This window comes from Homo sapiens, chromosome 1 (assembly GCF_000001405.40).
Source record: "Homo sapiens chromosome 1, GRCh38.p14 Primary Assembly".
In the NCBI taxonomy this organism is placed as follows: domain Eukaryota; kingdom Metazoa; phylum Chordata; class Mammalia; order Primates; family Hominidae; genus Homo; species Homo sapiens.
In genome coordinates, this window is record NC_000001.11 from 120,768,638 (window position 1) to 120,792,223 (window position 23,586).

At 40.0% G+C, this 23,586-nt stretch overlaps 2 protein-coding genes across 4 annotated transcripts in view; both read left to right on the forward strand.

The window, feature by feature from the left end:
- NBPF26 (NBPF member 26) overlaps nt 1-23,586 on the forward strand; it is a 118,285-nt gene that overhangs the window by 44,693 nt on the left and 50,006 nt on the right. For all 3 annotated transcript variants that reach the window (NM_001405520.1, NM_001351372.2, NM_001395637.2), the window contains exon 3: nt 16,337-16,596. In NM_001405520.1, the coding sequence (NP_001392449.1) occupies nt 16,337-16,596 (260 nt within the window). The remainder of the gene's footprint in view (nt 1-16,336; nt 16,597-23,586) is intronic.
- NOTCH2NLR (notch 2 N-terminal like R) overlaps nt 1-23,586 on the forward strand; it is a 70,907-nt gene that overhangs the window by 44,693 nt on the left and 2,628 nt on the right. The window contains exon 3 of the mRNA NM_001396072.1: nt 16,337-16,596. Coding sequence (NP_001383001.1) covers nt 16,337-16,596 — 260 coding nt within the window. The remainder of the gene's footprint in view (nt 1-16,336; nt 16,597-23,586) is intronic.

Below are 23,586 nucleotides of genomic sequence, written 5' to 3' on the forward strand. Positions count from 1 at the left end.
TTTCATATAGTTTGCTTCGCTTTTTCTGAGGCTTATATCCCTTCTAGTTTATGCCTGCTTTCAGTGATTCTCCAGTGCCTTTGATATTTTGTCCAGAGCAAGAGGGCTAGTCTGATATAAGTTACTCTGCAATTATTTTTAATGATGAAAATTGGAAATATAAAGGGGCCTTTCAGAATTTCATACATACCACTTGGTAAATATCTAACATAGTGTTTGTAAAACAGCAGAAAGTCACTGTGAGTTGTATACGTTCCTGTAGATGGGTGCTTGCATTTGAGAATGTCCACTTTTTGCTAAAGTGCTGATCTAAAAACTACACTTTAAGGTAAATTATTATAAATATAAAGTGTTATAAAATATAACTTTGTGTCACATTTTGTCTAAAACTTGTCTGCTAGCTGTAATAAACATTAAACATTAACAGCTAACAATTTTCCTTGCCAGGATTAGGCAGTCATGTTGGTGGTCCAGATTTCCTGAATCCATCCAAGAAAAACTAGAGCCATTGCCTTCTTTGTCTTCTTGGTAAATGTCTGTATAGTAAGTAGAGAGTAGAGACACTCATAATCCCTTAGAACTTAGCTTTTTATGGAGGATGCATTCGCAATGGTTCTGTTGTGGTGCTTCTCCCCCAAAAAGGCGTTTTCAGAAGTCATGGCTGACTCAGCATTTCCCCTTTTCCTTCACCTTCTTGTGAGTGCATTCAGGGAGGCACAGGGGCATTGTCAGATCAAAGAAATAGACAGGGAAAAATATCAACTGTTAAATTACTTTCTCTTTCTTCTCAGCTGAAACTGGTTCTGCCAGCCTAGTTCCTTCAAGTACGGTGCCTATTTAGCTGAACATTGTGTATATAGTTTTTCTGGAAAATGATAGCAGAAGCTTGGCCAGTTTTCCATAGTTCATTTATCTTTTTAACATAAAACAAAGAATGCTGTTTTTTTGGCTCATTAAATACCTCTCATAGAGTAATCTTTTCTTAAAATGTAATGTGTTCAGGTTTTATTAATTCAAGAGTTATTTATTGCATGCTATTTATGTGTACCACATATAACAGATAACTCAAGTCTGTGGTAGTAGTTGCAGTTAATCAATATTGTTATCATATTATTTCACACTTCTTTGGGAAGTCATAAAATAATTACCAGTTCATTAACTTGGGCTTCTTAGAGAGGTTCAGAGTAAAGCCAAGTATGAAAAAAACTGACTATAATGTGGCCTTCTGTACAGGGGCCGCCAGTGAATGGCAGGGCTGGGACCATGGTGAGGCAAGTAAGGCACAGGCCTCTCTTGTGAAATTTAAGAGAGTGCCAAAAAACTCACTAATCAAAATAATGTTTGTATGTAGTTGTTCAAAAAATCAAAATTAATGCAAAATAAGTTGAAAATTATCAAAATTTTAAATAAGGAGATCAGTACTACTGATTTTTTCTTTTGCCTTATGATCTAGTATGGTTCAGCCTGCACTGGTGAGTGGAGTAAGGGTCCTGGAAGATCCTTGACTGGTGACATGAAGAGGACATAGTTTTTTGTTGTTGTTTTTTTTTGAGACAGAGTCTCGCTCTGTGGCCCAGGCTGGAGTGCAGTGGCGCTTTCTTGGCTCACTGCAAGCTCCGCCTCCCGGGTTCATGCCATTCTCCTGCCTCAGCCTCTCAAGTAGCCGGGACTATAAGCGCCCGCCACCACGCCCGGCTAATTTTTTGTATTTTTAGTAGAGACGGGGTTTCACTGTGTTAGCCAGGATGGTCTCTATCTCCTGACCTCATGATCTGCCCGCCTCGGCCTCCCAAAGTGCTGGGATTACAGGCGTGAGCCACCACACCCAGCCGAGGACATAGGTTTTTTTATGCCAGATAGACTTAAGTTTGAGTCCTGATTCCTATTAACAATTGGATCTTTGGCAAGTTAAAGTCTATAATGCTAGCTAACATTATTGCATATTAGGGTCTGTTCTCAAGTAGTTTAACATGTATTTACTTTAGTCCTCATGTGAGAGAGAGACTATATGGAAGCTAAGAGAAGTTAAATAATTCACTCAAGATCCCATCACTCTGTAGCTAACCTGAGATATACTCGTGGAAAATGTACTGTCACCTTGAGTCTCAGTTTGCCTGTCAATAAAATGGGACAGAATTACCTGTTTTAAGTTGGTAGTTCAAATGGAACCTTCTGAAAAGGAAGTGTGGAACATTTGAAAGTATACAAAAAGGGGACTTTTCAGATCAGGAATATGATTAAAACACTGATTTATGTAATTTCTAAATTTAAAGACAGTAGCATTAGGTAGGCCTGAGTACCTCATATCATTCTAGAACACTAAATCTGCATATAGTTACATGAGTGTACATGGGCCAGGTTTGGTGAATACTGCATTTCTGAGAAATGGCCTTTAACATGAAAGCTCAATGTAATAACTGTGGATGAAATAGAAGAAGAGGGCAGTGAAGGTGGGGATAGAGGATATTGTCTATTAAAGTGTGCTTCAGTAGAGAGAACTAATTTGAAACTTCTCCTTTCTTTTTACTAATGGAACAGGAGCAAGTCCAGACAGATTTATGCAGTTGTGAAATTGAGACAGGTTAAATTCAGTGATTTTTGATAAATGTTGTTGCCAGCACAAAAGTCACAAGTTGTTGAATATGGCACCTTACATTTGCATAGTGAGTTACAGATGCATATGAGTATGTCCTGTGAGGCTTTTCCTTGTATTAGGACTTGAGATCTGGACCCTTTAACAGTACCATTCCTAAGTGATTCTTATTAATACTTATGTCCTATTAAAATCCTTTATCAAATATGATGTTTCCCTAAGGGGTCTTTTGTAAAGGAAGTCTTGGTTACTAGCATCTCCATCTGTGGCCCAGGCTTGAGTGCAGTAGAGCAATCATGGATCACTGCAGCCTCCACCTCCTAGGCTCAAGCCATCCATCCTCCTGCCTCAGTCTCCCATTTTTAAAACTTTTTATAGAGACACGGTCTCACATGTTGCTCAGGCTGGTCTCGAATTCCTGGGCTCAAGTGATCCTCCCACTTCTGCCTCCCAAAGGGCTGGAATTACAGGCCTGAACCACTGTGCCTGGCCAGTTAGTAGCTTGTTAACACATAGCAACATAATTTCCATACTATTTTCAACTAATTTTTATTCTTTCAGTTGGGACCTTTATATATTTCAGTGTTCAGTGAAGAAGTAGGAGAATCTGGTTCTTAGGCTCTGCCTATATCCTTTTACCTGTCTTGGGTAACTGCCAAGAAATTAAATCAACAAATTTTGGCCTGCAGTCTGGCATTAATAGATGTGAATTTAGCTAGGTTTCTTTCAACACAGTCTCCAGGTCAATCGTAATCTTATGTGAAGTTTCTTATTCAGGCATGTCTCATTAGCACCATTAATTTCACACAGGAATTCTTTTTTTCTCCCTTTTTTTGTGACTAAGCAAAATGAGAAATATTTCTCTTTCAGGATATGGAGAGGCTTAATTAAATTCTTTAATTTTGTCTACATCTGCCCTTATGAATGATAGCAAAGGAATGGGGGATATCAGAATATGAGAAAAAGTAATCATCTAAAAATTTCCAAGCACTTTAAAATTTGTTAAGCTAGCATAAATATGTGGGTGTGATAGAGGTTTTCATTAGGCCTCCTCTCAACATACAGTAGTTAGGAATGAAGTTTAGTGTCTCTCCGTCCTCCTGTCATATGTGTGTATGCACACATGTGTGCACATGCGACTGTGTTATGCATTTTGTTTTCATATTTCTTTTAGTTGAGTTTTACCTTACAACCCAACGTAAGGTAAATTAAAATTTCTATTGGATTTCCGCACATTTTCTAGATCCTATTTATTCACTGTCAGTGACCTTCACTAGCACTTAGTCCTCTGTGTCCAAAAATGTATTGCCAATTCTTAGACTCCATCAGCCTTCTCCTATGAAAAAGTAATGCAGTTAATTTCTGCTCGAAATGCTCTTCTCCTAAACAGTCTTCTACTTGATCTTTATGAAAAGAGTTTTATGAAAGAAAAGTGAAAATAAAGACTAAGAAAGGCATTATTTAAGTGATGGGTGATATTATTCAGCGAACACATTCAACTAGAGCATTCTATCCAGTTTTTTGCCTTCACGTAAATATGAGGAGAAAGGTAGGTGTTAATAAGAAAATAATCTGATTAGGATTTATGTAGAATGGTAGCATTTAGAGTATTAAATCTGTATAGATTCAGGTCATTTTCCTGCAGTCACTGTCTATAATCCTGTGTGCTGAACACTGAAAGTTAGATGGACTCTGAAGCACTATAGAATCCTCACTTTTCAAACAAAAGTTTAATTTTTATCACACTAGTATTTATTGAGCAGGCTACTATAACTGATCACTGTACTGGGTATTGTGAATACCCAGAAAAGCCCAAGAGGCCTGTGTTACCTGACTTCCTTATTCACAAGTATACGTACCCAGAGACTGTCTGACAGTGAATGCAGTTTCTCCTGCATAAGACATGGTGGCAGTCTTCTGAAGTCTTGCTGGGGAGATGAAGCATACAGAGATGTGTAAAATAAAACAGTTTGTAATATCCCAGTGTAGGGGCACAGATAATAACTATGGACACTCAGACAAAGGAACAAGTACTGTGGGACAAAAGAGTAAAATCAGAGGACTTTTGGTGCACTGCTTAGATCCTAAATCTTTGAATATTAGTGGTGCCTTAGAAGACGGATAGGTAGGAGAAGGGTGAGAGGAAGGGAGCTGAGGAGACTAGAAGGGACTGTTATTTCCTGGAATAATCATTACCAATTTCTTCATCACATTTTCTTAATGACACAGTTTCAAACGTTTTCTTCATCTTGATTGCTGTCTTCTGTGTATATGCTGGTTTGTGTGAGGTTTTACTAAACCAGTATGTGGATTAATCTAGTTTCACAGTGACAGGTAAGTGATTTAGAAAATCCTTCCTTTAGCACATGTTAACTTGAACGTTTGGAGGTAGAATGCCTAGAGTGAGGGTGAAGGAGAGGACCTGGGGACAGGAAGAGAGGGCAGCTGGGAGCAATTATGCTCCTTCCCTCAGACCTTTTTGGCCTTGACTCTTGATTCTTGTACTTCTACCAGACAGAGAGGCGGTAGGCTTGTGGCCATGTTTTGCGAGGAAAATCAGAATCTAAGAATCTCTAAGGCAAGAGCAAGAATGGATTGGGATAGGGGAAGTGATAGGAAAACAGAGGCACTAAGAAGAGGGTTGGTTTTCATGTACTGCATAGTTCATTCCCTTAGTTGAGAAATCAGGTATCTCAACCTCAGATATCTTCTGTCCAGCATATCGCTGGCCAGATCTGATTCATATGAGGGATCCAGAGTAAGGAAGCATCTGTTAGCCAAGTCTTTGGTTACCCCAAATTAGCTCAGGTCCTTTACTGCTTGTTTCCTCTGATTATATAGTACATATCCAAACCCTCAATTTTCCAGAATAAACTAGGTCTGCCTATTCTGTGTGGAAAACATTTGATGGTGGTTAAGATTCTCTTGCCTAGACGATGGTAGTGCCTTAGTCGTTTAACTGCCTGTCACTTTAAGATTTTGAAATACTGGTTCTCGTTGTGTAAGCCAGACACATCTTGAGAATATTTTACGGGGCAACTTGCCCTTTCTGAAACCTCAGTCATCCTGAAAAGTAACTCTGTACCTCCTTGACTTTAATTTTTCTGTCTTAATTCTATTTGTATACAATGTTTGTGGTGTCTGATTCTCTGTCTCGTATTGCTGAAACTCATGGCCTTGAATTTCTGGGTCACTCTTAAAAAATAGACATAACTTGATTACTAATGAAAAAGTGACTCATTTTCTTCCAGGCAAAGGCTGACACTGACTGTCACAGTTTGTGACAGAAGCAAACTCTCTAATTAGGAGACATCACCTATTCTTTTCTAAATTTTATAAGAATTGATGATAGCATCATGAGATGGGAAGTGAGTAAGATAAGCGTTTATGCTTGTAGAGAGGATGCATAAAAATGAAATCTGGATAAAGTTCTATCTGAATTTACCATTTTAAGTGGTTGATTCCCTGTGAGCTTAAATTTAGTGCTTCTCTTCCCAGACCGTTGTCTTACATACACACTTCAGTCAGTTTTAGCCTTGTATAACTAATCAGCAGGTCAGATTCCATAGAGGCTGAAATACCTACCACCATTCTATGCTCAAGAAAACAGGCTCTCATGTTGGCCAGTTGTTTGGGATAGAAGATGGTTAGACCTTTCTATCCCTTTTAAACACAAGATTCTTTTTCATTCCCCTTATCTTGTTTAAATATATTGTTCCTTCTGTTTGGTTGTTCTTTGCTTTCTTATGCATCTGTGAGGGGCTAGCTGAAAGTGTGAGTTGTGGAACAATTCATTTACATAAGTGTATATTGAATTATCTGTGCACCTAGAGGGTGATGGGCACTGTGAGGGATATTAAAAAAGAGACACAGTACAGTTCTTACCCTAGGATCCCCTGCTTGGAGTGGGACAGTGGTCAAGACATATACAACCACAAACACCCAAACATTAACATCAGCAAGCATCATTACATCCTTGGGTGGTATTGCCAAGGGACTTCAAAGGCCAAGATTATAGAGTCATCACACTTAGGAGGTCAAAGGGACTTTGGAAAGCACCTTTGTCACTCATTTTGTTTTATAAGTGAGGCGGCTGAGGTGTAATACAGCTAAGCGAATTAGCCTTTATTACATAACTCATTAGAATGTAGACTGGGACTAAGAGCTGTTTCTCCAGATCCCATTAGGCAATCTAAAGATTCTGCACTATTTCTTTTTCATTTTTGGTATCCAAATAGGTACAGTTGTTTTTGATCTAGGAAAATCCTTTTAGACTAAACAGTAAGCTTTTTAAATTACTCTGCTTTTAGATAGTTTTTGGACTTCAGAACTTTGAAGGTGGTCATCCACCAACATTGGGGAATGGAAAGAAGGCTCCAACACTTTTCTTTCTAGAGATCTTCTTTAATTTTCAATGGCAGTCACTACAGAATCTAGCAGTTCATGCTATTGAGACCACTTTGTAGGATTTTTTTTTTTTTTAGTCAGGGCTCCAGGTCCCTGGTGGTTTATGTAGTCAGTCTTTTATCAACAACCGATGAAAGACTAATAAAAGTGCAAGAGGGAATGAGGACTGTGTGTGTGTATGTCTGCACATGCACACATGCCTCTCTGTGTGTGTTGGTTAACTTCATATTTGGTAGGTGGGAGGGAAGGTGATTAAAAAATAATCTACTTTGCATGGAGTTGGCCCAATTTGACTGATATAGGGGTGAGTGGGGGTTAAGAAGTAGTCTATATATCAGGAATCTTAATTAGTTTTGAAAATCCTTTAGGTAAATAGCTCAACCCAGTTGTTCCCAAACTTCAAGTGTATTTATAGGGTCTTTTTAAGGGGTAAAGATTCCACAGAGCCCTTCACTTTGACCTTTTGCTTCTGCACTGAATAGTTGAATGCCTTCTATATGCCAGTCATTGTGTTAGGCACTGGGAGTATGAGAATTAATAATTTTAGTCTGTTGACAGATAATCATAATAAGGGCTAATGAGTAACACAGGCTCAGGGTTATTAAGAACAGAGGGGGTATCAAGGCTGTTTTTCACAGGAAATAACATTTAAGTTGAGACTTAATGAAATTTTAGGGCTTAGCCATGAGAAAGTGGGGAAAAGCATTTTGGGCTGACTGAACAGCGTGTACAGAGGTCTGGAAGTGAGAAGTAGTGTACTATAGCATTTTCTAGGAGCTGAAAGGCGTTTAGCAAGAGTATAGTGCATAAAGGAGAGAGCTTGAGATGAAACAATTTCTCAGTGTGTTGTTTGAATACAATGTATACTGTCAAAATCTAAGAATTCAAGAATCATTTAATATATCTTTATGTTTTACTAGTCATAAAAGCATATACATATATTTAAATATGGACAAGATACTGTTTAGTAGTTTAGAAAGTGATTTATAAGGATTGCAATCCCTTGCAATAACTCCACAGCCCATACCTTGGGAACAACTGAGCTAACTCATTCAGTTTTGTCCATTACATCGAAGGGTGTTTTTTGTAAACTCATATGTCTAGAATGTGTTTGCCATGTTTTAATCACAAGTAGATATTTTCTCAGGGTCCAGTGCAGTGAAGTATGGTAAGATCCTGATTGTGTTCTGGAACACAGAGGAAAGACCACCTTCTGTTATAGCAACAACACAAGTCTTTTAACACTGTGTGCCCCTTCCCAATCTTTCAAGTGATGATTGAAGAGACTAGGTGCTCAGCTCAGCCTTTGAGTTCTGATAAATGAGCCCAGACTGTAAACTGGAAGATAAGGATGTTTGTAAAGTTCTTGTATAAATAAAGCATGGTTTCTCATTGCAGTGGTTACTGATTTCATAGTCTGAGTGAAGATGAATGATGCTGTGAATCAACAGCTTTAAAGTCCGTATCACTTCAGCTTCTTTTTGGTTTAGGTTTCTTAAAATCAGTGTGTATTTAATGCTTTATTCAGATGAGGGGGTGAAAAACCTAACACATGTAAACTAAGTGAGGTGGGGTTTCAGAGATAATTCCCAGCCTCACAATTCCTCGTGAAGTTCTTTTCCTGTGGGAAACTTTTAATTTGGAAGCATGCAACCTAATGTGGGAACCAAGATTAACATTTTCTGAAATACTTCTACAAGAAAAGCAGAAATGGTCTGTCCAGGAAGCTGAATTTACATAGTAGAAAAATGAGCTGCCCTGCAGTATTTGGTAGTCTTTGTGTATTAGTTGTGATAAAAGTGTGTATGTGTGTGTGTACGTGTGTGAGAGTGAGAGATTGTATACTTGTCTTTGTTTCTTCACATACAACTAGTAAGGCCCTAGAAAAACTACACTAGAAAGTGTGTTTTACCACAAGCGTCCCAGTTCTGGACACCAATCTATACACAAATACTTTTTTTTAAAGTTCTTTTTGTTTTTCCTTCTTGCTGAGTAAGCTATAGTATTTCCTTTTTTTCTTTCTTTTTTTTTTGAGAGAAGGGGGGGTTGAGAGTAGAGTGGGAATGGCAAGAAGTAGTATGACAGAGCTTCTTCTCTTTTTTTCCCCTCTTTACCAGGAAGTTAACTAGAAGTCCTCATGCATGTTTTTAAAACAAAGTTGGTAATTAGCATAACCTAGTTAGTTACCTTTACACAGAGAGAATTAAAAAGTTGACAAGCCCATCAGACCTCAGCCAGGAGGTACTGAAAGGAGGGAGACCAGTGAGTTTAGACCAATAGGTGGGTTAGGCCTCCTGAATGCCAGCCTAGAAGTTTAGACTTGATTCTATAGGCTCTGGGGTACCTACAAGTTTGTAGTCGGAGCCTTGGGAATTGAATGTTACATAGGAACTTTCACTGGTTCCAGCTAGCCTTGGCTGTTAGCAATTACTTTTATCTACTTTAACAGGGGGGACAGAGTAGGGGGGCAGGAAACTAAGCTGGCATTATGGTCACAGGAAAGAACAGACTGATTTGGAGCCTTTCAAACTGCAGACCTTTGTTACTGACCGATGCTTAATTTGGTTTCTGGGTTTTGTTAGTTTTTTCCCCTGCCCTTACCTCATTTACCTTAATGACAGCTCCCCCCTCTAGAGCTCAGCTAGGGCAGGCTGCCACTGCGGATTGGGGGGCCAAGAGGCCCAGCGCAAGAAGAAAGTGGGTTGAAAGCAGAGTTCTGTTCAAAGAATTTTCTGCTGGAAACTAGCCCAGAGGGAGTAAAGAGGAGCTTTAATGAGGAGCAGCTTCAGTGCCGACGCAACCCACATGAGACTTTTTTTTCCCCTTCGTTCCACATTCTGTATAGTTTTTTTAAAAATCATGATTTTGAAATAGCTGTTTTGTAAAGCATGCCTCTCTTTTTCTTCTTGTATGTGGTGGGATTTTGCTTTGTTGTTGTTGTTGTTTTTTTTTGAATGGCCAAATCCTCGTTTTAAAAAAAAAAAAAAAAAAAAAAGCTAAAGACAGAGCTGCAGCAAAGCCCTGGATGCAATTTGGCCTCACCCTGCTGATACAGAACATTCGGTGGAGAAAACAAGGGGAGAGAACACTGGCTTTTATTTGGAAAAGGGGCTTATTTCCTGCTCAGACTTCAGTCATCTTGGAGCTGACACAAGCTGCTACACTGTTTTAAGCTTTTCTGTAGACGAGTGGCTATTCACTTAGGAAACGTGAAAGAACAAATTTTTCTGTCCTGTATTACTAGGGAGACTGATCCTGAACTGTAGCCATTGCCAGATAGATTGGAATTGCTATTCAGATCCCAGCTTCGTTGAAATCTGTAAAGTGGCTACATGTAAACTAATCCAGGCTGCTAGTGAGATGTGAGGGTTGGGGTCTGGTTTTCATCTGCTTAAGTGAGAGGAAACTGTAGGGGTATCCTTCAAATGGAATGTTTTCTAGTTCCATTAGGAGGAATCCCTTGTTTTTCTCTGTTTTCTTCCTTCCTTTGCTTTTCTACATCCAACCCCATGCGTATGTTTGAACAGTAACAATGGAAATGTGGACCTCTCAATGTCAGAAATGACACTTTTTTTTTTTTGAGATGGGGTTAGGCAGGTCTCGAACTTCTGCTCTAGCAATCTGCTTGCCTTGGCCTCCCACAGTGCTGGGATTACAGGTGTGAGCCACTGTGCCCAGCTGAGACTTTTAAAGAAAAAGTCATAAATACATCTTTATGGACCTGGTAAGTATTCAGATTAGTTTATGGAGTTTAAAATGGAAAAATGCTCCCCAAACCTTTCTCTGTATTCACAACCTCATCTGCGAAGTATGTTCTTTCAGAGTTCAATGCTAGAGAAGAGAGAGTAAGTAAAAGTCACTGAGAGACATTGAAGAGACAGTTATGAAAATAATTAATAAACTCCCTACAGGAGGGAAACATTCATATAGTTTTGCGGATGAAAGGCATCTGTTAGATTTTTGTGGTTATTTTTTAGAATATACACCTTTAGTTCAAGTGGTAGACTATTTTCCAAAATGTGTGCTGGGTAGCTTAATGGAATTATAGATATGTAAGGGGTGTTGGGTGTTTAGCCATGTTTTCACTCTCTAACCAAATTCAACTTTAGCCATCTCAAGAAGACAGCTATTTAAGCCCTTGTTTTCAAGCAGAGAACCTTACTTTCCACCAAGACTAACAGAGTATATTTTCTCCTTATACCACAGTTGAACAGGGATTTGCAAGTTGAAAGATCTCCTGCCTTAGGAAACAAGGGTCTGTTATTTCTGACTGTCTTACCTATTACTCCCCTTTCTTCCCATGTCCATAATGCTGCTTAGCTTCCTGGGGTGTGAAGGATAATTCTGTACCTCAGGATGACTATTAGGTTGATTTGGCCTGTTATTCTACCAGGCAGATCACAGAGTAGAGATGGATTTTGTGGAACATTTGGATTGAGAGACTGACTTTATCCATCACATGAAATTTAGCCTGCTATGGAACCAGCTGCTTAGTGGGGTTTAGGTACTCAGGTATTCAGGGAACCTACACCAAGGGTTCAAGACAGGCTCTTCCCCACAAAAACTATCTAGATGGGAGTTTGAGAAAGGTACAGCAAAGACATAACAGTGGCTTAAATAAAGAAGAACCATACCAGTGGAGACAATGTAGTGCATGACATGGCACTACATCTGCTGTTGGAAGGATCAGAGACAGGTGGGATGATTTGTAGAAGGCTTACTATAGGACAGGTTTACAGCAGATTTTTGAAAAAAGGGTGGAAGAAAGGAACCTAAGTTGGAGATATACCAGAAGGGAAGCATGATGTTTCTCACTGGAAATTAAAAAGATTTTAATATAGGGGACAGTAAACAAGATTGTGGAAATAATATGGAGTGTTCGAGTTATGGATTACTAAAGAGTAAGATGGTTAGATGATTGGAATGGGACAGACAGGCAGATCAGAGATTGTAAAGAACTTGGATTTGAAAGGCTTGGTATTAATACTGTTGCTAGTTTCTGAGCAGAAGAATGACATGAAAATTATGCTTAGGAAAGATTATTCTTTTAGTCATATGCTTAGGTTCAGCAAGGAATTTCCAGACTGTCCTTAGGGAGAGGAGAGGTATGGATAGGATGCTGGTCCATTTAGGATGTTAGAGCTGATTGAATAGGTGCTAGTCTTGGGGCAAGACTTAGTCATACACTTTCAGTTAAGTACTGTTTCATTGCAAGGTCTAGGTGAAGATAGGGATATATTTGTAAAACTGGGGAAATTGCTAGATTCACAGATAACCAACTTTGGGTAGATCAGTTAGCTTTGGTGTCCTTTTCAGTGCTATAGGGGTTCAGACCATTTGGTTTCTGAGATCACTGCTGAAATTCTGTGATTGTATGAGTATAATGTAAAAGTTGTCTCAATCAAGGAAACTTGGAGTAAAGACTCAATATGATGGATTTAAAAGGAATGAATGATAGTTCCAATTATTGGGTTCAAAAAACATGTGCTACAAGTATAAGATGAGAAAAATAGGGTACACTAGTAGTTCATGTGAAATAAGGCTCTGAATATTTTAGCTGAGTGTGTATTCCATAGCACATAGTAGTATTTTGTGGCTTCTAAAAAAGTACACATATCCATTGGGTATGAGTCGGAGCATTATTCTTTCTTGAACTGCGCTCTCACGATGCCTCCTCAGTTTAAGAACTTACTCTGAAATAGTAAAAGCATAGTGTCCAGATCAGGAGGTCATGGTTCAGCTCTGTGCTGCACTGGTAAGAACATGTGTTAAGCCTTTTTCCATTTTGAGCCTCACTTTTTAAAGAGGTTTTTGATGAACTGGAGTCATCCAGTGATGGGGAGGCAGGATAGCCTAGTGTTGAAGCACACGCACTCTAGAGTCTACTTGGGTTTGAATCCTGCCTCTTCCATCTACTAGCTGTGAATTTTTTTTTTTTTTTTTTGAGAGGGAGTCTCGCTCTGTCGCCCAGGCTGGAGTGCAGTGGCGCGATCTTGGCTCACTGCAACCTCCAACTTCTGGGTTCATGCCATTCTCCTGCCTCAGCCTCCCGAGTAGCTGGGACTACAGGCGCCTGCCACCACGCCTGGCTAATTTTTTATATTTTTAGTAGAGACAGGACTGTGTTAGCCAGGATGGTCTCGATCTCCTGACCTGGTGATCTGCCTGCCTCGGCCTCCCAAAGTGCTGAGATTACTGGTGTGAGCCACCGCACCTGGCTTAGCTGTAAAATCTTAATCTTTCTAAGCTTCGAGTTCCTCATATATAAAATGGAGATTATAATATAGCACTGGAGCGAGTAATACAAGAGACAATAGCTATCAAATGCTTAGCAAATATACAATACATAGTTAAGTACTTAGAAAATATGTTTTCAGTTACTTCGGGTATATACCTGGGAAGGGAGGCAGAAAATTTTGGTCATTCTGATTATTATTACTACTATTAAGCATAGAAGCACCACTAAAAAGGTGAAGAAGCCTGGAAATAACCCTATACTGAGGAATACGCCAAACCATTGAATCCTGGAAAAAAGAAAACAAAAGGCCCACATAACTATCTTCAGATTCTTGAAGGGCTACGTGTAAGAGAAGCAGAAGGCTTGTTCTTTTTTGTTCTAGAGGGTAGAGATAACCTGGAAATTGTAGAGAGACAAAGTTTGTTCTTTTCAAAGTTAAGACATAATTTATGTATCATAAAATTTACCCTTTTAAAGTGTTTAATTTAGTAGACTTTAGTATTTCCAGAGTTATGAGACCACCACCATTATCTAATTTCGAAACATTTTTATCACCCTGAAAGAAATTCTCTACTGCTTAGTAGTCACTGTCTATTTCCCTTTCTTTACAGCTCCTGGCAACACTAATCTACTTTCTATCTCTACGGATTTGCATATTCTGGACATTTCATATAAATGGAATTATATAATATGTGGCCTTTTGTGTGTGGCTTCTTTCACTTAGCATGTTTTCAAGGTTCATCCATGTTGTAGCATGTATCAGAATGTCATTCCTTTTCATGGCCACATATTTCATTTATGGATATACCACATTTTATTTATCTGTTCATCAGCTTATAGGCATTTGGGTTGTTTCTACTTTTTAGCTATTATGAATAATGCTGCTATGAACATTTTTATTATGTGGGCATATGTTTTCAGTTATCTCGGGTATATACCTAGGAAGGGAGGCAGAATTTGAAGAATTAAGAAAGAGCTTTCTCACAGTGGAATCCACCCACATTGAAGACTGTTCTTTTGTTGAAGTAGTCAGCCAGTAATTTCACTTAACAAATGCATAGTGTTTACTATGTGCTGGATAGTGTTCTAAGTGCTTTACCCTTATTTAAAAATCCTATGAAGTAGGCACTGTTATTACATCTCTTTTACAACAGGGAAGTTTAGTACCTTGCCCAAGATTACACATTGAGTAAATGGTGGAGTTGGGATTGAAATCCAGGTGGTCTGGTTCCAGAGTCTGTACTCTTAAGAGCAGAACAATAATAACTCCAAGCATTTATTAAATTCTCAAGATTTATCCGGCACCATGCTACATGCTTGTATTCAAGCAGAGGCTGGTGATCATCTTTTAGAAATATTTTAGAAATGATTACTTAATTGGATAGAAATTAAATTTCTTGAATCTGAAGGTTCTGTTATTCCAAGGATGGCTGGAAATGGGGGAAAAGCCAGCAACAAGATGATGTCTGGCCTGAGGCTTTTAAGATGATCAGAATTTGTATCAAAAAGGAAACTGTGAACACGAATGATAAGTATTATAGGAATTCAGTTAACAAGTCTTGTCAGAATGTGGTAATAAATTATATACAACTTAAAGAGATGAAGTTACTTTAAATTGTGTGTGGAAGCCTTAGAAAAATTGAATAATTAAAGTTTCTTGGGAAGATGATCTCCTTTTACAAATGTTTAGTTTCAAATAGTGGCAGCACATATTAGGATAGAGAGATGACTTCTAGAAAACTGAACATATGGGACTGGAACAGTGTATTTTGGAGTCAGTTACAGGAAGGAAGTTGTTTAAAACCAAGTGAACAACAGTAACAAATGCATTTGAGAGAAAGAGCAGTGCAGTCCAGACTTAAACGTTAGGGTGGCCATAATATATGGGGAAGAAGGAGAAATCAGCAATCCAGACTAAGACTTCACTGGGTTTTGAGTTAGACAGAGGGAGTCATAGAAGCCAAGGTAAAATGATTAAAACGGTACATGGAGTGGTTAGCAATTCTCCCTATAGGAGAGAGAATTTCCTTATGAAGTTTCAGATGAGACCACTGAACTTGACTAGAGGAAAGTCATTGTTTTTAGAAAACAGTTTCTAAGCAATAATTAGAATTAAAGTTTTGTTGCAGAGGGATAAGTAAGAAGTAGATGGAAAAGAAAGAGAAATATCTGAAATTAGGCTACAGTCATAGAAGGTTAGCTGTGAAACAATAATTTGGAAAGGTAAATGGGACCTCATGAAAGTGTGGGTTAAAAGAGACTTGTATATCTTCTAAGGTAAAAGTAAAGAACTAAGCTGATGTCCAGCCCTCTAAAACATTTTAAATAGAAATCAAACTTTATTAATACAGTAGGTCTAGTTTCACATAAAGCAAATATATGGTTCTGTACACCGGCTTTAGGAGAGTAAGTCTGTTGTACCTCATATGTAAGTATTATCCCATTTAGAGGAAAACCCTAAGTCTTTCTTTACAGTGGCTTAAAGGCCCCAATTGATCCACATCCCAGTTACAGCTCTCATCTATTTTCTGCTGCTCCAGATATTCTTGCTGTTTCTCAAACACGCTAGGGCTGCTCTCTGTGTTATGGCCTTTGCATTTGCTGTTCCCTTTCTCATGAATGTGTTTCCCTAAGATACCTGCATGATTACTCTCACCTTATTTAGGTCTCAACTCAAGTATTGTCAGTGAAGGTCTTCTCTGATTTTCCTATTCTAAACTGAGATACTTCTCTTTGCTCACCCCACACCCTCATCCCCAGTTCCATTCCATTCCTTCCTGTTTAATTTTTTTTCACAGCACTTAACTCCATCTATTGTGCATCTTTTACTTAGTAATTTTGTTTTCGTCTTCAGCTATTAGAATGTAAACTCCAAGAGTGTAAGAATTTTTCTGCCAGGACTCAAAAGGACATGGGAGTACGTGGTTAAGTTCTCTAAGGACTCTTTCTTCTAAAGGGAAGCAGTTTTATAGGTGGTACTTGTAGGTCTGTTGATTCACAATCTCGTGCTTTCTTGATTGGACTGTATTGTTTTACTGTAATTTTTTGGACTTACAAGAAGTCAGGTGTTTTCATGGACTCTTCTCTTTTCCATACAGATGTCCAGAAGGCTTCTTGGGGGAATATTGTCAACATCGAGACCCCTGTGAGAAGAACCGCTGCCAGAATGGTGGGACTTGTGTGGCCCAGGCCATGCTGGGGAAAGCCACGTGCCGGTGTGCCTCAGGGTTTACAGGAGAGGACTGCCAGTACTCGACACCTCATCCATGCTTTGTGTCTCGACCTTGCCTGAATGGCGGCACATGCCATATGCTCAGCCGGGATACCTATGAGTGCACCTGTCAAGTCGGGTTTACAGGTAACTAATGAGACCAAAGCCAGTGCTTCCCTACCTTCAGCAGATACCTTTATTTAGCATCTTTTAGATCATGGTGTCTGGCTCTTAAATGTCCCCCAGCTCTGGTGCACATTTAACATTATGATAAGGAACTGGGATGTTCCAGACAACTATCCCTAACTTCCTTTTAAGAGTTTCAGGGGGCAGAGAAAGAGAAAGAAAAAGGACCAAATACTTTGACTGCTTAAAGTATATATGTCAGGGCCAGGTGCGGTGGCGCACGCTTGCAATCCCAGCATTTTGGCAGGCCAAGGCAGGAGGATCACTTGAGGCTAGAGGTTTGAGACCAGCCTGGGAAACATAGCAAGACCCCATCTCTACAAAAAAACAAGAATAAAAATAAAACAAAATTAGTCATGTGTGGTGGTGTGCACCTGTAGTCCTAACTACTTGGGAGGCTGAAGTGGAAGAATTGCTTGAGCCCAGGAGTTTGAGGCTGCAGTGAGCTATGATCGCACCACTGCACTCTAGCCTGGGTGACAGAGTGAGACCCTGTCTCAAAAAAAAAAATATGTACACCAGGATGGGGAATCAGAGTTTACTTCACTAAAAGAAATAAGTACACTGTCACCAGAGGAAAAGTTGCTGATGTTATTGACTATTTGCTTTTAGAAATCTCCCTCCCTAGACATTCAGGGCACTGGCTTTTCTGGTTTTCTGAACCCTGTTCCTTTTGCTTCTTCATTACCTTGTTCTTATCCATTAAATGTTTGTGCTCCCTGGAGCACTGTTTTGCGCCCTCTTTTGAGCCACATCACAGCTCTCCCTAGGGAATTTCACTGTCTGTATTCGCCTCCACTGCCACTGTCTTCATTAGCTTGCTGATGAATCTCACCATCATTCCCTTAGCTCCACCCAACCCTGACATTCAGGCTCATGTTTCTAGCTATCCTTTGTATGTTCTCCTTGGAGATATTCTACAGGTACTTTCAGCTCACCTTGTTGACAGAAATACGTAGCAACCATGTACATCCCAAATACCCACGCTAGAAACTCCCTGTCCCTTGTTCTGACCTCATTTCAACTCAGTCACCCAAGCCAACCTCTGAGTTGCCTTTCACCTGTCTATTCCTCCCATTTCCTCTGCTACCCTGTAGTTGAGGGCCATGTTATCTCTCACCTGGACTTCTGAAGTAGTTTCTGAATACGTTTTCTTGCCTTTATTCTCTCCCCATCTCATTCACCCATGATATTACTACATCTTTGATTATAAATGCAAATATTCTAACAATCTCACCTGCTTACAATGTCTAATATTTTTTCATCATCCGCAGAATAAACTGCAAACTCTTTTACATGACTTCCATAGCTCTCTACAGCCTAGACTTTACATCTTTTTATAGCCTGGCCTCCCCACAAGCATCTAGGCCTAGTCACACCAAATTCTCCTTATTTCCTGAAAATGTTGTACTTATTATTGCTTCCATACAGTTACACACCCTTTTGCCTGGAATGCCCTTTTCTACAACTGGTGATTGTCCAATGTTATTTAAAACTGTGTCTTAGTGACCCTTTCATGATTCCTTTAGGCAAATGGTCTCTAAGTTTTATTAGTTTTATGTATCACATTTTATTGTAATTTTTTTTACACATATCTCACCTGAATAGATTGTGGGTTTTTCTAGGTGGGTCTGAGCTTTATTCAAAAGTGTTTATTAAATTAGATGAGAAAAGGAGGAACATTCTTCATTTTTTCTCCTGCTTTAAGCACTAAACCAAGAGTTCTATAAATGCAATAAGCAAAAAAGTGAAAAATGTACTCAGAAGACTATACTGGATCAGTTAGTGTAGAATACTGTTATATTAATTTTTCATTGTATTAGGGTTCTCTAGAGGGATGGAACTGATGGAATATATATGTATGTATATATATTCCAACCCAAAGTGTCTTGGTGGCAATCTTAATATATATATATTGGCAATCTTTATATATATATAAAGGAGAGTTTGTTAAGTATTAATTCACATGATCACAAGGTCCCACAATAGGCTGTCTGCAGGCTGAGGAGCAAGGAGAGCCAGTCTGAGTTCCAAAACCGAAGAACTTGGGGTTCGATATTTGAGGGCAGGAAACATCCAGCACGGGAAAAAGATGTAGGCTGGGAGGCTAGGCCAGTCTCGCTTTTTCATGTTTTTCTGCCTGCTTTATATTTGCTGACAGATGATCAAATGGTGTCCATCCAGATTAAGGGTGGGTCTGCCTTCCCCAGCCCACTGACTCAAATGTTAATCTCCTTTGGCAACACCTTCACAGACACACCCAAGATCAATACTTTGTATCCTTCAATTCAATCAAGTTGACACACTCAGTTTTAACCACCACAAATCTACCCCTTGTCAACTTGAACCCATACACATCTCCTGAGATCACACATAATCTTCAAATAAAGACAATAATTAGGTCATAATTACACCTGATGTAGTACAACTATTCTTCGTACATCCGGAAACACACCAGTCCCCAACTGAAACACTCTTACATAAAGTTAACGATACTTAAATGCTGATGTGAAGTCAATAAATCTTATGTCACATGATAAAGGAGAAAGGAAATAAAATGAAGATATTTTCTTAGTACAAGTGTGTGCAAGCACAGACATGTTTTTAATAAAAGAAGGAGGAAATACTGAGGACAATTACAGTCCTCATTTCTGCAGCTGGTCACATGGTAGTAGGTGGTATTGATGACTACCTTCTTCTACCCATTTTGTATTCCTTTTGCCTTCAGCAAACACCTCAGCAGGTTGTGTTTTTTTTTTTTTCCTGATGGAGAGGCCCAAACCTTCATTCATCCAGGCGGGACCATTTGTAGTCCCGCCTGGATTGGGCTGTTGTAGTTGCCCATTGACCTTAATCACAGGGCATGGTAATACTAAGAGACGCCCTAATGGATCTCCTGTATTCCATGAATACTCTTTCTTACCTCCGTTCTGGAGTAGTAGACTGATTTCATCTTGATAGCCTGGGTCTTGATAGCCTTGATGTCCCAGCCAACACTGTAACGCCTTTCTTAGCCTGTTTACTTAAAGGTAGGAACCCAAAGTGTCCTGGTGGCAATCTTAACTACCAGTTTAATGGAATTGTTGTTGTGTCTTCTGGTGGCAGCATTCCTCCCTCTGGAACTAAGACCTCTAGGCCAGCAGAACTTAATGTTGCGGGAACAGGAAGCAAACATTTTGCTAGTGGATCACTAGGGGTGATGGTGAGTGGTACCACTTCCATTTCCACCCCGTGATTCCTGGACCTGTGAATCCTGGCTATGGGAGAAGCAGTACCACATATTGGACGCTGATTCAGAGCATACACAGCCTTCTTGAGAACTTTGCCCCAACCCTGCAAAGTATTCTCACCTAGTTGGCATTGTAATTGTGACTGCAAAAGGCCATTCCACCGTTCTGCTTCAGGATGTTGGGGAACATGGTAAGACCAGTGAATTCCATGAGCCTGAGCCCACTGCTGCACTTCTTTAGCCATAAAGTGAATGCCTTGGTCAGAGGCAATGCTGTGTGGAATACCATGACAGTGGATAAGGCATTCCATGAGTCCGCGGATGGTAGTCTTGGCAGAACCATTGCATGCAGGATAGGCAAACCCATATCCAGAGTAAGTGTTTATTCCAGTAAGGACAAACGTCTGCCCTTTTCACAATGGAAGAAGTCCAACATAATCAACCTGCCACCAAGTAGCTGGCTGATCACCCTGAGGAATAGTGCCATATCAAAGGCGCAGTGTTGGTTTCTGCTGCTGGCAAATTGGGCACTCTGCGGTGGCAGTAGCCAGGTCAGCTTTCCACCGGCCCATCTTGTTTTCTGCACTGGGAAGGTGGGGCATGAGCACAAATGTTAGGACCTGAAAGGTGGTGAACTCTGCCTGGGCAGGGCAAAGCCAGAGGAAACTCTGGTGGAGGTCCGTAGCAGTCCTGATGTGCAAATCGGTCATCCAACCTGGGTGTAGGGGCGAAAGACTAATTGAACCATCTAGTAGCTGGTTCCCTCCAAAGTTTCCCTCGGGATAGCTGGCACTCTCGCAAAAACCCCACTCTTGGTACCAATTTACTGTATTAGTCCATTTTCACGCTGCTGATAAAGATATCCCCGAGACCGGGAAGAAAAGAGGTTTAATTGGACTTACAGTTCCATATGGCTGGGGAGGCCTCAGAATTATGGTGGGAGGCAAAAGGCACTTCTTTCGTGGTGGTGGCAAGAGAAAATTAGGAAGAAGCAAAAGCAGAACCCCTGAGGAACCCATCAGATCTCATGAGACTTATTCACTATCATGAGAATAGCACAGGAAAGACTGGCCCCCATGATACAGTTACCCCACTGGGTCCCTCCCACAACACATGGGAATTCTGGGAGATACAATTCAAGTTGAGATTTGGGTGGGGACACTACCAAACCATATCATTCATCAAAAGGTGTTGGTGGGGTAGAGGGTAGTTAGGATGATCCATGATCTCCATCATGATGATGATGGTATTGATGATGTAAGTCACTGAAAATATTTGGTGTTATAAGAATAATTTCTTCCTGATTGTCAGTTTTGAGTTGTTTTGCTATTAGGAGGCAAAGTAGGGGGGCATATACCCACTTAAAATATTTCAATTCTGGCTAGTGGAAATGACAGTAATGCCTTCTTCATAATTAAAATGTCACTCTGAAATGGTCCCAAATTAAAACTTCTTCCTTGTTGTTAAGAAGGATCTCTTCTTGGTGTGTTCTGCAAGATTCTGATCACCTTTTTTTTTTTTTTTTTTTTTTTTGAGATGGAGTATTGCTTTGTCATCCAGGCTGGAGTGCAGGGCGCAATCTCGGTTCACTGCAAGTTCCACCTCCCGGGTTCACGCCATTCTTCTGCCTCAGCCTCCTGAGTAGCTGGGACTACAGGCACCTACCGCCATGCCCGGCTAATTTTTGTATTTTTAGTAGAGATGGGCTTTCACCTTGTTAGCCAGAATGGTCTGGATCGCCTGACCTCATGATCCACCCGCCTCGGCCTCCCAAAGTGCTGGGATTACAGGTGTGAGCCACCACACCGGGCCGATTCTGATCATCTTTTATACATATGCTATTTTTGTCTATCACTTTAGGAATCATCACAGATCAAGGTCATCCTTTTGGTTTTTGTGATAGCACTATACCTCAGTCAGCTTACTAGCTCATCTCCACTCAGAGATGAAGAAGCAGAGGCAGCAAGTTAGTGCCTATACATAATATATATGGAAACCAAATTCAGGGTTGATTCTTTCTTTCTTTCTCCCTCCCTTTCTTTCTTTCTTTCTTTCTTTCTTTCTTTCTTTCTTTCTTTCTTTCTTTCTTTCTCTTTCTCTCTCTTTCCCTCTCTCTTTCTGTCTTTCTTTCTTCTCACTCTGTTGCTTAGTACAGTGGCGCAGTCTCGGCTCACTGCAACCTCCACCTCTTGGGTTCGAGTGATTCTTGTGCCTCAGCCTCCCAGGTAGCTGGGATTACAGGTATGCGCTATGAAGCCCGGCTAATTTTTGTATTTTTAGAAAAGATGGCGTTTCACCATGTTGGCCAGGCTGGTCTCAAACTCCTAACCACAAGTGATCTGCCCACCTCAGCCTCCCAAAGTGCTGGGATTACAGGCATCAGCCACCACTTCCGGCCCAGGGATCTTTCTGTTTCAGTTGTGGGCATCACTCTGAAAATCACACTTGCTAGAAGTGAGCATTTATATCTCTTCTCCACTGTAAATAAGTGCCTCTTAGTGACATGAGTGGAAAGACAAGAAGAATTGCAGTTCCTTCATTTTCTGTCTTAGCTCCCTGAGATGTATATGCTGTGCCTAAATTTGTGTTATAGTTTTCTCCTTTGATTTGACATTCCTTGATAGGCAGAGAGCACTTTTCTGTGCTCATATGTCACATCTCGCATCCTTTTCCCTTATAGAAAAACTCTTGTGTCTCCCATTTACCTTTCTATGAGGTCAGAGATTTAGATACTTTCCTAGACAATCAACTGGAGTATTAACAAATTCAAGGAGTTCTCGCCATCCCATTACTGGATATATACCCAAAGAATTATAAATCGTGCTGCTATAAAGACACATGCACACGTATGTTTATTGCGGCACTATTCACAATAGCAAAGAGTTGGAACCAGCCCAAATGTCCATCAATGATAGACTGGATTAAGAAAATGTGGCACATATACACCATGGAATACTATTCAGCCATAAAAAAGGATGAGTTCATGTCCTTTGTAGGGACATGGATGAAGCTGGAAACCATCATTCTCAGCAAACTATTGCAAGGACAAAAAACCAAACACCGCATGTTCTCACTCATAGGTGGGAATTGAACAATGAGAACACTTGGACACAGGAAGGGGAACATCACAAACCGGGGCCTGTCGTGGGGTGGTGGGATGGGGGAGGGATAGCATTAGGAGATGTACCTAATGTAAATGACGAGTTAATGGGTGCAGCACACCAACATGGCACATATATACATATGTAACAAACCTGCATGTTGTGCACGTGTACCCTAGAACTTAAAGTATAATAATAATAATAGTAATAAAAATTCAAGGAGTTCTCATCTCTGTAGTTTAAATAATAAGTGACTTAGACTAATGACAACAAAAAGCCAGCCATGTGAATACCAAATTTACTAGTTCTGTGAGGATATTTTTTTCTCTTTCTCTTTCTGCCTCAAAGAATCTGCTTTGCTTCCCCTGCCATCATGATTTAGTTTTCAACCCGTCAGAGTCTTCCTGCTAGTGCTGGTACTTTCCTACTTGAGAAAGTCCATGGAATACCTTCGAGACCTCTGTCCTCCTGATGGCTTCTATTTCATTTGTTATATAGGGACCCAGAGTTCCTTCATCATTTTCAAACACATCAACAGATATTTATAGCAAGGCCACAATTAATAAAATGTTTCCCAGAATATATGTGTGTGTTACATTTAGAGGAAACAGAAGTAGTATT